The sequence below is a fragment of the Homo sapiens genome, chromosome 12 (genome assembly GCF_000001405.40).
Source record: "Homo sapiens chromosome 12, GRCh38.p14 Primary Assembly".
Lineage (NCBI taxonomy): Eukaryota > Metazoa > Chordata > Mammalia > Primates > Hominidae > Homo > Homo sapiens.
Genome location: NC_000012.12, coordinates 103,700,960 through 103,721,567, shown reverse-complemented (window position 1 = coordinate 103,721,567; position 20,608 = coordinate 103,700,960). Strand labels below are relative to the sequence as shown.

Sequence of the window (20,608 nt, the reverse complement as noted above, 5' to 3'; positions counted from 1 at the left end):
GCCAGAATGAGATTTGAGAGCCAAGCCAGACATTGACATTGACCTACATGATCATCCAGTGGCTTCCTAGTCACAACTGGAAAAAAATATAAGCTCCACAGCATAGCCTACATGGGGTAAGGTGATCTGGCCCCTCTCACCACCTCCCTTTTATTCCCTTTACTGCATTCACACTGGCTCTCTCTTCAGTTCCCAGAACATGCCAAGCTCTTCCTCTTCCCAGGACCCCTGGCTTGCTCTTCCTTTTGCTTATACATTTTCCCCAAGATTTTCATGTGGCTGCCCGCTTCTTAACATTCAGGAATGAGTCACCTCGGCAGAGAGGCCTTGTCTGATCACTACGACCCTTCCCCTCTCACCCAGTCTCTGTTCCATCAACATGTTTGCCTCCTGCTCTAGTCTAAATGTTTGTGTCCCCCACCTAACCCTCACTATGGTATTAGGAGGTGGGGCCTTTAGAAGGTCATTAGGTTCATGAGGGCAAAGCCTTTATAAATGGGATTAGTGCCCTTATAAAAGAGAGATCCTTTTGTGGTTCATTAGCTTGATATTGGGTTTTCACACTATTCTATGAGATGTGCCTCCCTCAAAACTTGTTACAACATTGACACATTACCCTTCTGATGTGAAAAGAGAAGAAAACAGAGACCCAAGGGAACTCAGTTGTCCCTTCTACCAATGAGCAAGAAGGCACCGTCTGTGAACCAGGAAGCAGACCTGCAGCAGACACAGAACTAGCCAGTGCCTTGATCTTGGACTGCCCAGCCTCCAGAATGTGAGAAATAAATTTCTGTTGCTTATAAGCTACCCAGTCTCAGGTATCCTCTGTGCTGTTAAAGCAGCACAAATGAACTAAAACAGTTTGGACTGGGGACTAACTCAGGAAAGGCAATGTTTCACAGTCCTTGTTGGTAGGACTTGAGCAGAAATAATTGTTCTTGGGCCAGATTTAGCACCAGGACTATTTTGTTTCTTTAGCCCAGTATTTAAAAGAGCTTTTTGGAATGAATTACCATCATTTACAAATTAGTAAAATTTACATACAAATTCATAAATTTTCATATCTTTTAAAATGTCAGGAGTACCGTCAACACTGGGCTGACATAGCTTAGAGCACCAGTCAGTTGGAGTAGATATTTCCCCATTAGAGCAGCAATATGATTTGGGTCTTCCTGTTGATATTATTCCCTGCCTGGCCCCTGATGGCCTATAATTTTACAATCTTGCAATAGAGTTAATTCCCATGGGAATATGCTGCTGAGATAGAGTAGCAAAAGACCTTCAGAATCTCCCAGGTCAGCTGTATCAGGAGTCATTTGTCCAAGACAAGGTGGCCATTTTTTTTTACAAAACATGAATGGCCCATGGAAGAATTGCTGTGAAAATTAAGCTGGCCATAGTTCTAGTGGTAATAGCTTCACATCTCAGCCCCCATCTTTTCCGTAGCTTCTTCTTTATTATCCTTACATAACTGTTTCATGTAGAGGACATTGATCTCTTGAGGAGCTTGCCAGACAAACACAAGGAGATAATGGGAGCCTCAATTGAAGAAGAAGGGCTTTAATTACAGGGCGTCTGCACTGTTCTCATGTCAACAGCTGGAGGCTCTCAGGTGGGAAGTAATATAAACAGGAAAGCAAGGTGTTGGGATTGGGCCTTGTAGGAAGAATAAGCACCCCAAGAAGTGGTCAAGGGTGCAGGTCTTGAGTAGGACAGAGATAGGCTCAAGTGCTGGCCATGCCACATACTAGCTCTGTGGCCTTGGGCAAGGGCCTTCACTCCTCACAGCCTAGTGGGTTGAACTGTCCTAAGGACTGGATGCAACTGTGGATGCAACTTATTTAGAAAAAGAGTCTTTACAGATGTAATTAAGGATCTCCAGATAACATCATCCTAGATTAACCACTTAATGCCACAAATGTCCTTGCAAGAGGAGAAGACACAGATACAGAAGTGAAGGCCATGTGAAGATGGAGGCAAGATTGGAGTGATGCGGCCGCAGGCCAGGAATGCCTGGAGTCACCAGAAGCTGGAAGAGGAAAGGAAGGATTTTCCCACAGAGCCTTCAGAGGGAGCACATCCTTGCAGGCACCTTAATTTTGGATTTGGTCCTCTAGAACTGTGAGAAAATACATTTCTATTGTTTTCACCCACCCAGTTTGTGGCAGTTTGTTATAGCAGTCCTAGGAAAGAGGCACAGCTAGAGTCTCTTTGTCTGTAAAATGGGGTTAATAACAGTTCTTACCTCATATGGCTGTTAGAGAAATTAAACGAAAGAATGATTGGGCACCCCTAAGCACAGTGGCTGACCCCTGGCAAGCAGTGGATATGAATGTGACATTGATGCAGGACTTCAGAGGCCTAGCTGACCACACAAACTGCTCCGGATGTGACAGGCTGGGTCAGCAGGCTTATCTCATCCCTTTGCAGGTACCAGGCCTGGGACAATTAGGCTCTGAGCAGCAGTAGGCGACTAGCCCAGTTTGAGACTCAGTGATTAATGACTGAGTAAACTCCTCGTTTGCATAACATGGGTCCAGCCTGCAGTCAAGGGTTATAAGAAAATCAGAAGATCCTGCTCCTGCCAGGATCGACATGCAAACGGAGACAAGAAGTGTGTCAACAATATCCTACAGACTGGAGGAAGAAAGTCAAAGCCCAGATGTTAGTGGTAAAAGGAATTCCAGGGACACTTATAACCATCCAAGGAAACTGAGGTCCCAAGAAGCAAACCAACCGAAAACCCTAGAGTCATGTGGATCAGGGCTGGGAGGAATCTAAATGGCTGTCTGGGTTGATAACCCATCTGTTGCTTCATTCCTATAGTTAAATACCTTGAGTTATAATAAGCTCATTACTTCTCAAAACTCTCTATGTCTGGACAGTTCTAATGAAATAAGTGAGTTAAGTTGAAAGAAATCTGTTTTCTTCTAATGTCCATCCGCTGGTCCTAGTCCTACTGCTTGGACTTACACAGAACAAGAACAACCCTTCTGTTTTGTGGCAATCCTTGAAATGTTGGTGGCAGCCTCCACCCTACATCCCAATTCCTCTTTAGAGAGAGAGAACTGGGAGAACTAATGATGTGTGCATGGACATAGGAGACACAGTGCTTCTATCCCCATATGAACCCCTGCTCAATGCAGAGCATCTAGAACTGGATCTTCTGTTCTAAGGTAGAGTTATCATGTAGAATGGGGGTGGTAGGGGCCATGGAGGGTAGTTGTGGGGTGAGAGTAGAATCATCTTCCTTAGCCTGTCCTCTAGGCCTCTGTGATGACAGAACAAGCTTTTGGAATGCTACACTATATTGTTGACTCATAGTGCGCTCGCTGTGGATTCCTACGTGTAAGTCTAGGAGAATAAGGAGTGGAAAGTTGCTGTGAGGTTTACCTAAGATGGCTTCCTAGAGGAGGTGAGAGACATGCTTGGTGGAAAGGGATCTTTTTCATAAGAGTTGGCAATATGGATAGGGGATAAGCAAGTGGATAGACTTAGCTCAATATGGTGCAGCCAAAGGGGCAGGCTGGGGGTAGCAGACTGTGCCTTCTCTCTTTTCTCCCCAACATTACAATGGAGTGTGCCAGAGAAACAAGCCTCATGGTCAACACACAGCTCTGAGGCCTCCAGAGGAAGAGTTCCTCAACTCTGCATCCCCGAGAAGTGGGGTGGGAGGCACCCTGGGCTCTGAGGCTTGAAGGATATCCACCCTAGAGCCATACTCACAGTTAAGCAGACATTGATGAGTGTGCAGACCTTTCCATCTCCAGTGTATGCTGGCAAACAGTTACAGGCAGCCTGTCCAGGAGTAGAAGCACATGGGGTCATTTTGCAGGTGGGTTCTGTACTGGCCGCATGGTCTGGCTCTCAGACCTGAACTCCATCATGGTCATGGTAATGTTAGGAGAGTCTCTATTTGACGTTGGTAATATCTATTTTATAATGATAATTGTCACCCTATGTTTAATATTTTAGCACTTGACACACTTCACTTGAGCACTGGGATCTCATGCACATCCTATCTTTGTTGCTAAGATACCGTTTTTTTTCTTTTTAATGTTCTCACTCCATTTGGTCCCTTGCCTTCAGGTATTCACCTCTTTTCTTTGATTGGTAAAGGTCAGTTGAGAAGAAGCCCAACTATATCCCACTCTCATTCATACTCATATCTTGCTCATCTGCGCCCATGCTGAGCTGAAAGGCACCAGTGCTAGGAGATGCTAAGGAGAGACCTTTATAGCCCACTGAGGTGTGCACATGGAAACAATCTATCAAACCCATTGGTTGGCCCAGGAAGTTGGGTGGAAGCTTCAAGTTGAGGGAGGGGACACTGTCTGAAGAAGCTGGGGACAAGGTCCCATGTCCCATGTCTGCGCAGGAGCACCCGGCCACTGGGCTGAAGCCCAGCTCACACTCTATTCACTGATGTCCCCAAAGGAAGAGACACCTGCTCCCACTGTGCCCTCCCAGGAGGCAGCTTTTCTAACTCACACAAGGGCCTCCTATGTAGCAGCAAGGGCCCTGGGTTGACGTCTGCTTCTTAGAACTTTAAGTCATCATTGGTGCCAGCTAGGGCTACACGGGCAGGTTTTCCCGTTTCTCTTCCTCTTTCTTCACAATGGGCCCCAATATCAGTGCAAACCTTTCCCAAGACATCACCAGCTGTCCCTCCTCAGCTAACGTCTTGTTCTCAAAGTTCAACTCCACATCCTCCTTTACTGCCCCCTAGGACTGGATGGGCACCCTTGGAGGTCCCAAGCACCAAAAAGTTTATAGATTATCTCCTACCTCATATGTAGTTTGAAATAAAAACTACCAAACCTCAAAAGATGTCTAAGAAAGCTCAGCATTGACTGTTCCGAATTCCCCCATGACTAAATGTGTCCACACACATGTGCATGTGTGCTCACACAGTTCTTTCAAGACAATTTTTTTTCCTTATTTTTGCGTACTTTAGGTACTTGCTTGATCTGCCCATTGAGAGACCTGGCACTGAGGTCTCCAGATGGCTCAACTAGGTCAATAGAGCATTCACTGGTGACTTCACTTTGTCATCCAATTTTGGATATATGTGATTTCCTGTCTGGCCATTTTGCTTGTTCACCATGTGGCAGAAACTGAGGAAGGCCGAACTTGGGTCTCCAGGCCTCCAGCTTCCCTGCCTGTATCTTTCCACCCTGTGACCCCCATTCTCTGATGCGGTTGCTCTCATGTTTTCCCCACCTCCCCCAGCCTGCTCTCCAGACAGATGCTGCAAGCTCATGGTACTCAGGGCCATGTGACTGGTAGAGTGCCCACAGTATTATCTTCCACCATGGCACATGTGCTTCAGAGCCTTAAGCCAAAGATAAAGTGTGGGATTCTGGGCATCAGAATGCTGAAAGAAAGTGGAGTATTTTAGGGGACTGTCTAGATGCTTCTGGAATCACATGGTATTTGCAGATACCTACTTCTCCGCACTCTAGGGAAGCCCCTTGTCCTAGTACCCTTGGTTTTCCCCCATTTCACCTCATTCCCAAAGAAGGGCCTCTTGATTCTTTCAGAATTTCCCCTAAAGTATTTATTTTCAGCTGCAGCTCTTTAGAGGTCCGTTCTCAGCCTCTTTCTCTCAGGCCTGTGTCTAAAGACCTAGGAGTTCCCTTTTAGGAAACCTAAGGGCCTGGGAGAGGTGGCACTCACCTGGTTGGGTCCTGTCTGTGTGCACTCCGCATTCTTGTCACAGCCACCATGGTTCTCCAAACACGGGTTGATTTCTTTAAAACAAAAAGCCAACATCTGGCCTGGAAATCCAGTCTGGTTTCCAAGTGAAGCCAGCTTGAGGGATGAGCTAAGATGGCTAACTGACTGAAGGGAGCGGGTGTCAAAGCATGATTCAGTTTTCTGGAAGTTCTGAGACAGAAATAACTGAACTAGGAGGGTACTGTATATGGTTTCTTAAGATTGACTATTCTGGGATAGGCCAGTTCCAGCAGAGGGATTGTCTACTGGCTTAAATCAGTCCGTGGAATAAATTTGAGCATTTGTAGCAAAGTACTTGAAACCATAGAATCTTGGAGTCTAATCTAAGACTGCTATGAATGAAGAGACTTAGGAATTAAAAACAATCATTTGCAACCATCACAATATAGATTGGTTCAGGGAAGAATCATCAAAAGATGCTAAACTAAGGAGCATATTTTGAGGGGGAACAACATATCTGCTTGGTGTTAAAGTGTGTCTCCTCTGACTGCTTATCAGTAGTAAAGTAGAAAAAAAAAATAACTGTATAATGGAAACATCACAGCACCTTCACTGAGTGGTCAAAATTAACATCACACACAGAGGGCAGAAGGAGAGCTCAAGGTTCCCTGAGACAGATGCAATATCACTTGTGTGACATTTGGGCCTTGAATGTATAACCTGAATCTAAGAATGAAAAACATCAGGCAAACCCCAAATAAAGGACATGCTACTAAAAAAAAGTTGGCGAGGTGGAGGATATTATTCCCATGTGTTAATGTCATAAGACACAAAGCAAAGCTGAGGAACTCTCCCAGATTAAAGGGGACTCAAGATACATGACAATGAAACACAATATCCAGCCCTAGACTTGATCCCTCACTGGAGGAAAAATTGTCAAAAAGGACATTATTGAACAACTGACAAAATTAGAATATGAATGGTAATTAGACAAAAGTATTACATCAATAATAAATTTACTGAAGTTGATAACTGTGCTGTGGTTACGTAAGAGGCTATCCTTATTCTTAGGAAATATACACTCAAGTATTTAGGAACAAAGGGAATACAATATACACAGATTACTCTCAAATGGCTTAAAAATGTATATATACAAAGAGAGCAAATGATAAACAGGGCTAAATGGTTTTTTTTTTTTTTTGGAAATGGAGTCTCACTCCATCGCCCAGGCTGGAGTGCAGTGGCACAATCTCAGCTCACTGCAACTTCTGCCTGCTGGGTACAAGCAATTCTCCTGCCTCAGCCTCCCAAGTAGCTGTGTGTGCCACCACACCCGGCTAATTTTGTATTTTTAGTAGAGATGTGGTTTCACCATGTTGGCCAGGCTTGTCTCGAACTCCTGACCTTATGATCTGCCTGCCTTGGTCTCCCAAAGTGCTGGGATTAGAGGTGTGAGCCACTGCGCCCAGCCAGGGCTAAATGTTAATAGGTGAATGTGGGTAAAGAACAAGTGGGTCTTTTTTGTGCTATTTGTATAACTCTTCTATGTCAATTTTTTTCTAACTAAACAGTTAAATTCAGACAACTTACTATGGCATACCTTTATAGTAGAACAGTGTGTGGATATTTAAATAATGTTAGAGGTATACTTGTTTTCAGGGAGAGTTACTTTGATATATTGCTAAGCATAGTAAATGCTGTATATCCTGAGATACCATTTTTGTTAAAAAAAAATACATGTAGGCATAGCAAAATGGGGTAATGACAATAATAAGAGCACTATCTTCAGAGTATTTTCTCCAGTACATGTGCTTTCTTTTTCTACAGTGAGCATGTGCTACTTGTATAAAAAGGAACTAATAAAAGTTTAAATGTTCTGTCATCGCCATGATGTTTAATTGGAAAATGTATCTCCTTTTACCCTTCCGAAGTAATTTTTGGACATGACATGCCTTCATACCCTGTGGTCACTTTTCCATGCCCTTATACTTTCCTGCCCTGGCAAATGGAATACTGACCTCAGTTTTGTGTCCTGATAATCAGGGCACACACGTTGGAATCATTTAATAGGGCTATGACTCTTATACCATTTCGCCGATGGAAGAGGGAAGGACACCTACCCAGGCACACAATGCCATCACCCGTGTAGCCTGCTTTGCACGTGCACACTCGCCTTCCTGGGGTGGTTCTCTTACAGTCAGCCTTGGCAGAGCAACCTCCATTGCTGATCTCACAGGCATTGATTGCTATAGAAGATGACACAGAGCAGAAGGGGAGAGGGAAGGGCAAAAGCCATTGATGTATTTTTCCTCAAGTCATTGAGAAATGGAACATACTGCAAAACTACTTGAGCAGGCACTGGATTAAATATGGCCAATTCCCAAAAACAGAGAGCAAGTAAAACATCTGTGATTTGCCCTTTCTAGCTGCTTTTATTAGCATTCTGTACACATCCTACTGCAGGACACACCTGGGGATGAAGGTGAGTCTACTTGGCCCTCTGGGAGAATCCCCAGGGTAAGATGGTCTAGAAAGCAGATTGGCATGATCATTGTCCAGTGCTGCCACAATCTGGACCAAAGCCTGCCAGGACACAGTGCTCAAGAGAAAAATGACCTTAAGATTTTCCATTTTTTCTAGCACCAGACACCATAAGAATATTAGCTTGCATTTATTGAATTCTATGTGCTGGGTCTGTTCTAAGCACTTCACAGGTATTAATTCAGGTTATTGTCCAACTCAGTGAGGGAGGTCTTCTTATTATCCCCAAGTTGCAGATAAAAATAATAATGCAAAGAGCAGTCAAGAAACTTTCCCAAGGTAATGTAAGTAATAAGTATTTAGGTTCAAACCTGGGGAGTCTAAGTTGACCTGAGTTTTCAACAGCTGCATTATTCTGCCATTGAACACAGAGAGCTCACTTAACCTCAAAACCACTCTGCAAGGGAGGTAGTTTTAAGTTTACTTTACAAATGAGCTATCCAAGGCCACCTGGGTAGTTGGAGGAAGAACCAGGGCTCAAATTCTTTTTTAGTCTGCTCCAGACCCTCGATGCTCCAGCCATACCCTAGGCCAATCAAATCAGTGAGTTAAATTCTTTTTTAATGGACACATAATTGGACATATTTCTAGGGTATATAGTAATGCTGTCATAATGTATAGATGAGGGTAATTAGCATATCCATCATCTGAAACATCGATCATTATGTGGGTTCTCAACACAAATCACTGTTTTTTAAAGCTTCCCAGGTGATCCCAATTGTGGTCAAGGCTGTGAACAGTTGGTTTCCTGTCCCCAGGCACAATCAACTGCCCCATTACATACAATTCACCATCAGTGGTTGGCACCAGCTGCTGAGGCCCATTCAGACTGCAGGAACAAGAACCTCTCAATAGCCTGTGCAAGCCTTGCCAGCCCCCCCAGCAAATTCCTTCCTTCGCTTGCCTGTGCAGATGGTCCCGTTTCCTTGGAATCCTGCTGCACACTTGCATGAAGCTGTACCATCTGAGTTGGTGAGGCAGCTGCAACAAGGAAGGACAAATGGGGTTTGTAGAAAAATACTCCACCTCCCACCACATGACTCACAAATGCCCTTCACCCTCAGTATCCTGGCCCCTGCCCCCATGAGACACTCATAAGTCCTGCCTAAGGCTTGGGAGAAGAGTCTAATTCTGGCATAACCCCACCACAAGCAGCTAAAACTGTACTCATTTATCAGGCAAACTACAGCGTGCATAGATATAGGTGTCAGTTCAGGAATAAGATGGGTAGCTGCCAAGCTTTAGAGAGCCACTGATGTGCTAGGAGCCATGTTTCATGTATTATTTTGTGTCATCTACTCACTATCCAATAGCCCTGGCAAGTCGGATTATTCCCATTTACAAATGAAGAATCTGAGGCTTTGGAGGGATTCAACGTTGGACTCAAGATCATGTGGTAGTGCAAATAACAGAGGCTGACTTTGAATTCATGTCTAACTCCACTACTAGGTACTTAATTCATTAAGCCTCTCTGGGAGTTAGCATTATGAAGCCAAGTTATGACTTGCTGTGAGTCAGGAACAAGGTTTATGGAAACTGAGGCCCACTGGGTTTCCTCAGTCTCCATGAGTCCTGGTAGCTTGGACTGGGGTAACAGTGGGCATTTTCGTCAATGTGCCAGGTAAGTCAGATGGCAGCTTGTTAGAAAGCCTGGATCTGGCTATTTGATAGTGGCCTCTTCAGAGATATTTTTAGTTTCATACTCAAGTTTATCCTAAGCCCTCAGAAATGGTGTCAGGAAACAAATCCCCTGAGGATAGAGACTAGGGTAGACAATATTGGGAAAAAATCCCCTTTACACTGTCCCCAGAGGTGGCCCAGGGCTACCTACTTGGCGCTGGTATGGCATGTCCCATTGCAGTTGTCTTCTGTGGTTGCTGAAAAAGAGAACCAGTTGCTGTCTTAGCCCTCTTACTAAATCTCACCTGAGGATTTTTAGTATTTTGTGCTCAGAAAAGCTACTTCTTTGGAAGTGATATGTATCATGTGAGCGATATAAAACTATGAGGTCATGTCAATCCTTTTTTATACTGGCTGCCATGAAGCTCAAAGCCAAATCTGAAGGTCAAATACATTGATGGTGTCTTCTGTTTGCCAGGCCCTGTGCTAGGCAGTGAGGATGCAAGAGTGAATAAAACACAGAATTCTCCCTGGAATGTGACCATGTGCTCTTATGGTCTGGGTGTTGATGTGTACCCCTCTTCTGGGTTTTGATTTTCTACTTTTATTTGTATTTCCTATGCTATTCTTTCTAGTTTATTCCTAACTTTATTCCCGGTTTTCATCATTTTATTATGGAGTGCTGTAAACAAGCAAAACTATAATTATAAAAGATTTTTTTGCATGTGCAGAAAATCAGGGCTTTGCACACAGCAGGTACACAATATTTGTTGAATTAATATGTAAATTTCCTGGACACAGCATAGGTTATTGCTCTTGGATGCCTACCTATTTCTTGACAGGACAAGATCCAGAAGTAAATCATTAGAGATGAGGGAAGAATACTCTTGGATAGGATGCTCATGTTAAGAGCTTTTGGGATAGAAATCTTACCAATCCTGGCTGAGTCATACAGGAGGTCCTGAAACAGAGGCCTGCAAAAGTGGTCTGTTTTGTGTCGGAGGGAATTTAGACTCAAATGGGCTGGAATGGAGGCAATTTTGTGCCTGTATCTTATTCCTTGAGCCTAAACAATCCCTTTCTCTCTATTCTCTACCTATTGGCATTTCAATCATGTTTTATGTCCTTTTCTCTGGAACCTGCTCTAAACCTTTGAGCCAACTTCAATTAATTGGTAGCAGCTTAATGGTGTGCTACTTTGAGAAGGGTTGGGTGCCCCTGGCTGGTCACAGAGGGAGGGAGTGTCATGATTGATTAGTGATGTCTGCTGTGGACTTAGGAGCGAGGAGTTTGCACACAAAGGAGTTGTCTTCTTTGTTATAGTCTACAGGCTCTTTGCTTTGTACTCCATACCACAATTTTTCCTTTTACTAAACATTTATTTCCTTTTCTAGACTGGAAACTTCCTGTGTAGAATGTGCACTGGAGACAGGGATGGGAGATAAGTCTGGAAAACTGGGTGAGTGTTCATTGGTGAAGAGTCTTTGTGCTCCACCCTGCTAAGGAGTTAGGACTTTCTTCTGTAGGCAATGAAGAACCACAGCAATTTGTCAAGTTCTGGGGAGGAGCTGGGGTGAAAAACACGATCTATGTTTTGGTAAGTTCTATCTGGCAGTAGTGGGGAGTACGGAGTGGAGGAAGATAGGACAGGAAACAAAGAGACCACAAGGCTACTGGTGAGAGGGGAGCAGGAGGAAGAGATGGATTGAGAGATGTGGAGACATGGAATATGTTAGGTATGTTAGTGAGGGACAAGGAGGTATGGAAGCTGAGTAGGGAGGTTCCTAGATTGGGTGACCAGGTGCATGGGTGGTGGGGTCTTTCTTCAGAGTAGAGAAAGCAAGAAGAGGAGAGAGCCTATTGTATTTATTCTGGGGATTCACCGAAAATGTCCTACTGTTTATGTGACCCCATTGCTTCCTGCTTCCCTCTCCCAGGCTCTCAGAAGCCTGGCTCTGTACCCTGACATTTGACATCTGCTCTGGGATATTTCTTTGGCTTGGGACCATTCAGACTTCCCAATTCAGCTTTTCAACTAACCTTCCTCCCTGACCCCTTGTTGCTGACCATTAAAAGGCAACTGCATTCCCTTGATTTTTGCATTGCCTGGAGCTTTGGGCAAAGACGCCCCCTCTGTCAATGCCACATCCATGGAGCCCCCACTAGGCTAGCAATCACTTGTGATCTCCTCCCCAGCTCCCAACCCGGAAGAGGGGGAGTCTCTGATACCTGCTTCCAGGGGTATTCTCTTCAATCCAAAGTCTGAATGATTTTTCTTAAGTGCCAAATACGATCATATTGCTCCCTTGTTGAAAACTCTTTAATGGCTTCCTGTTGCCTTTAGTGAGAAGTCCAACCTCCTTAGCGTTTCACGGCCCGGCGCCTGCCCACTGCTCCTGCCTTTTCTCATCAACCCTCCTCTTTGCCCTTAAAGTCCTCTCATTCTGCAATCCTTTGATTCCCTAAATGTGTTGAGCTTTCCCATGTCGTTGTGGTATTCCAGGTGCTTCTTTCTGCCTGAAATTCCCTTCTCTTTGACCGCCCTCACCTGAAGCACATTAAGAAAAATCAATGTGATGTGGTCGGATTGAAGGAAATGGGCCTCTCAGACACTATTGGCAGGAGAATAAATTGCTATTTCCTCCGGAGGACAACCTGGCAATAAGTAGCAAGACCTTTCCCCCAGAGTGCCATCCCCTGACTCAGAAATCTCATCTCTAGGAATTTGACTAAATGAATATGGTTATTGTAGCAGTGTTTGAGAGAGCAGAAAATTGGTTCAAAAAAGTGTAGCATGGTCATACTGTAACATTTTGTGGAGATTACAAATTAATATTTTTCTATTTTAATCACAGGGAAAGATATCTATATATATATTGTGAAGTGGAAAAGTAGGTTACTAGACAATATGTAAAGTGTGATTCCCTACACATTTGCTTATATACCTAGAAAAAGGTTGGTAGCCTAATATAAAATATCAGTAATAGTTCTTTCCTGCCTTGAGGTTATGAGTGATTTTATTTTCTTCTTTCTGCTTTTCTTTATTTTACAAACTTTTTGCTGCAAGAAAGAATCATGTTTATTGCCAGAAGAAGTAAAAAAAGGTGTCATTTATATTTTAGAAAGAAAAATGTAGCTGCTGAGAAGCAAAGCTTAGAGCAGATTATAAATACTGGAGGCCTCACTCTTACCATTGTCACAATGCACTCCTCGCCAGCCAACATCACAGTCACAGGAGCCATCTCCCAAGGGTCCTTGGTTGCATCTCCCATGGACACAAGAACATGCTAAGTGGGAAAATCACCTGCAAATCGTCAGATTCTAACCCATGTTCAATAACTCATTTGTCATTTACTAGGTTTGCTTTATTGCACTTAATTCTCCAACCTACTTCTAGGAATCATAGTCTTTAACAGGGGTCTTGAATCACAAAAAGGGCAGGGGTGCAGGAGACAGAATCTAGCAAGTTCACAGGTGAACTAGCTCTAGCTTCAATGAAGTGGCTCAGACTGCAGTTTTGAGACAGTGTAGCACTGAAGATCTGTGACCCAAGCAGTGTGAGAGTGTCCTCAGTCAAGGTTACCTGAGGATCCAGGGTTATGCAGGGCTCCTTTGATTGGAACCACGTTTGCCCCTTAAGAATGGACTTCAGGAAGAAGCCCATTTGACACTGGGTTTGTATAAGCCTGGTGTGGCACTGCTTCCTCAATTACACAGATGAGTCTCTGAGAACTTGATGAAAGCTACAGATGCCTTCCCCAGAAAAATGTATTCAGCTTTAGCGGTTTGCTGAATCCCATCAGGGTCATCTACAAATCCCATTTTAGGAACTCATGCACAAATGCAAGCAGATAATTACTCCAAATAACATGGGAAAAAATCAACACTGTAATTCCAAGTAAATATTATATGGCCCAATTATAATGATTCAATTGTACATTAATTTTGTCTGGCTTAGACCAGCTGAGGAGAAAACAGTGATAGCCAAGTGAACTGTATGGTTTTTAGTACTAGGTAGAATAATGCTTTGTTAGGAAACCCAAACTCTGGAGTCAACACTCTCACAGCTGTGTGTTCCTGGACACAAGGAAATCTGGATGTGAGAATACAGATGACTTGGCTCAAACAGATCATTGTTTTTGCAAAAACTACTTAAAGCATGTGTCTTGCTGCTGGTGAAACAATAGAGCAACCCTCAGGTAAAGAACAGCATGATCTAAAAGCAAGCTTTGGAGTCAAGAAAGGTGTACATTCAGTTCTCAGTTCTGCCTCTCATCAGGTGTAGCCTTGGGGGAAGTCATTCAACCTCTTTGCCTTACTACCCTCATCTGTAAAATGGGCATAGCAATACTCATGTACCTAAGGTTCCTGTGTGGATTAAATGAATAACATGTGCAAATCTGTTTTTCAAACTATCAAGCAATGTCCACAATGGAAAGTTTAGCCGTGATGATTAGTGTGCATAGGCAAATATAAAAACGCATTTGGGCTGGGAATGTCAATGAGCAAATTGGAAGTGAGTTGGTAGGTTCAAGTTAGAGACTGAAAATGTTTGGGAACACTGCAAATGCAAATGACAACACAGATGCTCTTATAATTCACAGTGATAGTAGCAGGTGGGATTCCAGCCCACTTGGGGCGACAGGCCAGCTAGAGAGCACGTGTGGGATCACTCTTTCCCTGCATATTCCTGGTTGGTTTCAGCAGCCCAAGATCCTCTGTGGAGAGGACGGTGCTCACCTTGGTCACAGTGGATGCCGTACTTGCCCTCGGTGCAGGTCTCGCAGGCTGTGCCGCTGAAGCCCTCCCCACACTCACACACACCTGTGCCATTCACTCCATCCAAACAGATGCCATTACCAAAGCAGACATTCTGGGCATTCCCTGGGCAGGGCTGGCATTGGGGGCCAAAGAAGCCGGCACAGCATTCTCTCGTCTGAAACAGAAGGACAAAGCTTGACAACGCACTTCTATCCTCTGGTGTTGTCCAGCCTCGGTGTAGAAATCCTGCTGTGGGTGACTTCTTGTGCACCTGTTTCTTCGACCTCACATGGAGTGGGTGAGGGGTGGGGGCAGGACCCTCTGGGGACTGGGTGAGGCTTGGCAATTTCTAGGGGTGCTAGGAACAGGACCAAGGGCTCCACTAAGGAGGTAGGAAAGAGGGAAAGGAAAAAGGCATGTCAGAGAAGAGGATGAAGAAAAATGAGAAAGGAGGAGGGGCAGCAGAAGAAACTAAAGAATAATGCCTGTGATGCTGGAGAGTGGGAGGACCAAGGGGCCGTCTCCAACCCAGATCTGGGCCCCTTCACATCGATGTTATTTCGTCTACTACTGAAGGTGAGGAGGCCTCTGCAGGTGAGGCTTTTGGCATTTTACAAACCAATCTTTTGCAGTTCAGGGAAGCCCCGTAGGGTGTCTGCTTGGGTTTGCCTTGCCTTTATTCTTGAGTGCATTAAAACACAAAATCTCCCCCACCCCTATGCTCTGCAGCCTAAGGGCCAGATCACCCCACCTCTGCCCAGCTAGGCAGAGGTTATGTCTAGTCATCTGGGAAAGGAGCAGCACAGGAAGTTCTCATGACTTTTCCTGCAAATTCCAAAGGCACCACTAGAGGTAGTTAGCCTTGGGGTCCTGTTTTCTAAATGACCAAGTGCACCTTATCTTCACAATGTGAGTGGACACTTTCTCTCTTTTGCTTACAAGCATGCTCACAGAGCTACCCTGTTGTGAGAACAGGGTGGTCCCATTAGCCTCTCGGACTCTCAGTTTTTTTCATCATGAAACTGAATTGAATTGCAGCTTTTACCCATTTTCTGGATTACAGAGCTGTTCTGAGCTTTACTGCTACCACTACTACATTGGATGACAATGATAATGCAGGTAACAAGGAAGAGGAGATGGCAGAAAGCATACCTGCACAGGGATTTTGAAAAGGATACCATATGATGGATTTTCCCAATGGTGCTGCAGTAGTTAGTATGATTCAATTATTGTACTCACAATGACGGTTCTCACACATTTTGGCTGGCACCCAATAAACAGGGTTCGTCTTCCCATGAAATAGGAGGTATAGATGCATCTCCTCTTCTCATTACCCTGTGAAATATTAATGACTACGTCAGCTCCTAAGTTAGGAAAAAGTTTTCCAGTCTCCGAAAGCAAGTAGGTGGGTGATGCATTGCTGTCTCTCTGACTAAAGTGTTGTGGGAAGAGAAGGTGGTGGCTTGTTGGCACTGCTTCTTAAGCAAGAAAACATGAAAACACAATGTTGGTTGCCGGAATGCCAGGTGGCAAAATCCAATAATTATACTTTAAAGTAGTACTCCATGAAAAGAACATTTCTTTAGAATATCAACTTAAGTTTGCAAGAATTGTAGAGTAAACCAGGTAAAAATGTCCTTCCAGCACCGTACATTGACTCAACTGAACTTTGGTTTCTATTGATTTATAGTCTGCTTTGGTCCAGGAAAGGATTAAGGCTGCATACAAAGATTATAATATACAAGATTAAATTAAACCTCAAATGAGAACATCTGTATGGTTGTTATAGATTAAAATTTATCATAAATTAAAAATTATCATATATTTAGTAAAAACTATTATGCTGTTGAAGGTACATGAGTATTCTTTGTAATGTAATCAGAAGTATCTTTTACAATAAATAGCAACAAGAAACATGGATTGTCTACCTCCCCCGTACCTGCCATCTGTTTCTTTGAGAAAGTTAGTTGCAACTTCAACTATAAAAGGAAATCAGGCAGGTGGAATATATCCAGGCTGGATATGGTTTTGGATATGGAATCTCTCTTCTCTGACAAGATTTCTTGCTGCGGTCCTCAACTGGCTACTAGGATATGAAAGACGTAGAGCATAAAAAATTTCTGTCCTGTCTGTTGATTCATATGAACCCATTTATGTTTATTAAATTTTGCCTTGGTCCAAAAAAATAGATGTAAGATTTTACAAAGATGCATATAATATAACGAGGTAAAGTGTAATTCAAATTAAGTGAAGGAATGAGGGAAGTGCAAATCACATAATCTTGAGGTTCATTTTCTAATTGGGACTCCTCGGATCTGGAAACTATTTTATCAAAACAGACAAAGTACTTACTAGAGATTTAGTTCCGAATGGGCAGGTCAGCTCTGAGGAGCATGTCCTACATCTTCCCTTGGTAAAACACAAAAGCAATCAATGTAATTAACTTTAATACAAAATGAAGCTGCATGTCCAGAACTTGGAAATGAAGGTTTTTGAATTAAAAATCAAGGCAGATTATCTGGGCAGCCTCTTTAATGTTCTGAGACAAACACTTCAACTCCTCTGGGTCTTGCACATTTGCATCACTTTTCTCCAAAACACTCTTCTGACTCTGCTAACTCTTTAAAGTGTGACCTTATCTCATTTAAGTCCAAATTCTTTAACAATAACTTTTATTTATTAAAAACCAACTATTAAGTGAATTGGGCCAGATTCAGAAACTCACAAGTTACTGTACCCAGTGCCCAGCTTCGGAGCACATTGCTAAGATGAGGGGTTCAGCATGGAGATGCCCCAGAGATAATACATGCTATTACAAAACAAAGAGTAAAAGTTCACAATGACAGAAACCCTCAAGCTCAACCTGTCCCTAAAACAGGAGGTGGTCAATGTGTCTAGTTCTGAACCTTAAGCCTACCAGACAGGATAATGTGGTTGTTCAGGGTTCCAGTTCTGGGCCAGGCTGCCTACATTTAAACCCCTTCTCTGCCACTTGGTAGTGTATGAACCTGCATGTATTAGTTAACCTCTCTGGCTCACTTTTCCCATCTGTAAAATGGGGATAGTAATAGTACCTACTTGGTAGAGTATTGTGAGGATTACACAGGTTAGTGCATGTAAAATGTTTAGAGCAGTGCCCGGCATATAACGAGTGTCCGATAAACGTCAGTGGTTATAATTATTGTTGAAAGGTCCTACATAGCCCCATGAATTGGCATGAAAAGCCTCCATTATCATATTCCATAATACACTGAAATCATTCATTTCCTTATTTTCTCTACTGGTAGAGCAGGCTTGGCCCATAACTGCCATAGGGGCACCATGGTTCCTACCCTGTGCCTGTCCTAGATATGGCACATTTTCCCTTTGAAGAAAGCCATGGTCCAAAATCCTGCCCAACACAGCACACCACTCCCCCCCACCATCCCCACACACCTGGCAGCCTTTCCCAGGCACACAAGGTACAACCTCTTGCACTAGATCACAAGCCCACTGAGGGCAGGGGTCATGTCTTATGTATCTTTGTAGAACCACAGCCTGGTATGCTCCTTGGCACATCAAAGATACTCATTCAGTGGTTTATGGACTGAATTGATACACCTTAATAGAAAAGCCTTATGCCCCCAAAATTATATAAAAAAAAGCCAATATTCATTAGTTCCATCACTGGCTCTGGCCCATAGAACTTACTCGTATAATAGTAGTGTCATTATTATCACATCTGTTCTTCTGAATTTCCAGAACTTTTCCCAAGCCATGGATCACTCCCTTATCAGTGGCTACATTGGTGTAGTTTATTGGAGCCTCATTTACATAGAGCTGTGAACAACAGGGTTAAATGTCACTTTTTATGACATTTAAAGAGATATGGAAAAGATAGGAAGTGGAGGTTAGCAATAGGACAATTGCCTAGGAGATATTACAATATTCACCTGGAGATATAATAGTCACTTGTATTGGAAAGAGCTCTGACTTAGGAGCGGAAGTCTGAATAACAGTCCTGGCGCCATCTAGCTGTGTGACCTTAGGCCAATTGCTTTCCTCTTCTGAACTTTAATTTTCTCTTTTGTAAAAGGAAGAAGTTGTTCTACATAATTTCTAGGTATCTTCCATGAAGCAAATTAATTGGCTTATGTTTGTTTGAAAAATACCACCCATGATCATTATGTTAGTGCCCACCGGCAAGACGGCTCCATGGACTTGCTCAGTTGTGCTGTAGACCAGTGGTTCTGGAGGTGGTAGTGCCTTCCATAACCAAGAATCGAAGAATGCAACTGTTCCTTTCAGTATGTCTCCGCTTCATGGTTAATGTGCAAACAACCCTCAGAAAGGCTAATGATGGTTATACAAGAATAAAAATAACTGATAGGCCGGGCGCGGTGGCTCACGCCTGTAATCCCAGCACTTTGGGAGGCCGAGGCGGGTGGATCATGAGGTCAGGAGATCGAGACCATCCTGGCTAACAAGGTGAAACCCCGTCTCTACTAAAAATACAAAAAAATTAGCCGGGCGCGGTGGCGGGCGCCTGTAGTCCCAGCTACTCGGGAGGCTGAGGCAGGAGAACGGCGTGAACCCGGGAAGCGGAGCTTGCAGTGAGCCGAGATCGCACCACTGCAGTCCGCAGTCCGGCCTGGGCGACAGAGCGAGACTCCGTCTCAAAAAAAAAAAAAAATAACTGATAATTTTTTAAAAAATGGTATATTTATATCTGTCCTTGTTTAGCGTGTCCATAAACAACCAAGGCATGGGTATGAAGTCTGTATCTAAATGCCGCCAAGTCAAATTCAACTTTGAGTTGCAATTTGTTTTGATTTTTTTTTTTTTTTTTAGGGAAGAACACTTTAATGAGTAATCAATGAAAAATAAATGAAGCCATGGATTCATTCATTAATATAACACATATATAACTGGAAGCAAATCATTCTTTGAAAAATTGGGGTGGGGTGTGTGTGTGTGTGTGTGTGTGTGTGTGTGTGTGTGTGTGTGTGTAGCAGGGCTGAAGTTGGGAGAGGGGAAAACTCAAGTTAGGATCCAACAATGGTTTAAAATTCTTAAATTCATATATTATCCCAGAAATCCATGTTACAGCAATATTAAAATGACCGTACTAAGTGCTTAATTCAAACTTCCACTGAATGTTAAAGTCCCTTATGATTTACTTGCAGTCAAATGAGCTTCCATTTGGATGTTGGGATAAGTCTGGCTGAACTCCACAGAGGTGTTCCAAGGTCTGTGTACATTTGGAAAATTAAGAGGAAACCTTAGTCTCAAATGGTGATTGTAATAAATTTCCAGAATTCTAAGATGTTGAGCTATTTTTAAATACTAAAAATAGAAGAACATTTGATATTGTAATACTGTTGATTTGGCATTTAAAAAAGTCTAAATTATTTCCATTCTGAGGTATATTCAGAGAATTATGGATCACATTGAAATTTTGACTTGACTGTGTCTACTCATTTAGAAAGCATTTCTCTTAGGAACACTTTTACACTGTTGGTGGGACTGTAAACTAGTTCAACCATTGTGGAAGTCAGTGTGGCGTTTCCTCAGGGATCTAGAACTAGAAATACCATTTGACCCAGCCATCCCATTACTGGGTATATACCCAAAGGACTATAAATCATGCTGCTCTAAAGACATATGCACACGTATGTTTATTGCAGCATTATTCACAATAGCAAAGACTTGGAACCAACCCAAATGTCCAACAATGATAGACTGGATTAAGAAAATGTGGCACATATACACCATGGAATACTATGCAGCCATAAAAAATGATGAGTTCATGTCCTTTGTAGGGACATGGATGAAATTGGAAATCATCATTGTCAGTAAACTATCGCAAGAACAAAAAACCAAACACCGCATATTTTCACTCATAGGTGGGAATTGAACAATGAGAACACATGGACACAGGAAGGGGAACATCACACTCTGGGGACTGTTGTGGGGTGGGGGCAGGGGGGAGGGGGGAGGGATAGCATTGGGAGATATACCTAATGCT

The 20,608-nt window shown here is 43.3% G+C and overlaps 1 protein-coding gene and 1 non-coding gene across 10 annotated transcripts in view; one reads left to right on the top strand and one right to left on the bottom strand.

Annotated features, from left to right (window-relative positions):
* Positions 1-20,608, bottom strand: part of STAB2 (stabilin 2) — a 179,447-nt gene that overhangs the window by 45,152 nt on the left and 113,687 nt on the right. For 7 of the 9 annotated variants that reach the window (XR_007063104.1, NM_017564.10, XM_011538537.3 and 4 more), the window contains 10 exons: positions 18,292-18,420; positions 16,954-17,010; positions 15,841-15,936; positions 14,581-14,776; positions 13,032-13,127; positions 10,052-10,097; positions 9,125-9,201; positions 7,800-7,925; positions 5,680-5,753; positions 3,727-3,798 (listed from right to left, as the gene is read on the bottom strand). Coding sequence is in view for 8 of the 9 variants with exons in the window: in NM_017564.10 (NP_060034.9) it covers positions 3,727-3,798; positions 5,680-5,753; positions 7,800-7,925; positions 9,125-9,201; positions 10,052-10,097; positions 13,032-13,127; positions 14,581-14,776; positions 15,841-15,936; positions 16,954-17,010; positions 18,292-18,420 (969 nt within the window). In the remaining variant the exon portion in view is untranslated. Of the gene's footprint in view, positions 1-3,726; positions 3,799-5,679; positions 5,754-7,799; positions 7,926-9,124; positions 9,202-10,051; positions 10,098-13,031; positions 13,128-14,580; positions 14,777-15,840; positions 15,937-16,540; positions 16,688-16,953; positions 17,011-18,291; positions 18,421-20,608 lie in introns of those variants that run through there. The other 2 variants (XM_011538542.3, XM_047429103.1) reach the window with 2 other exon arrangements.
* LOC124903106 (small nucleolar RNA U13) lies at positions 524-626 on the top strand. The gene has a single exon (XR_007063643.1). It is a non-coding gene; the product is annotated as a small nucleolar RNA U13 (small nucleolar RNA).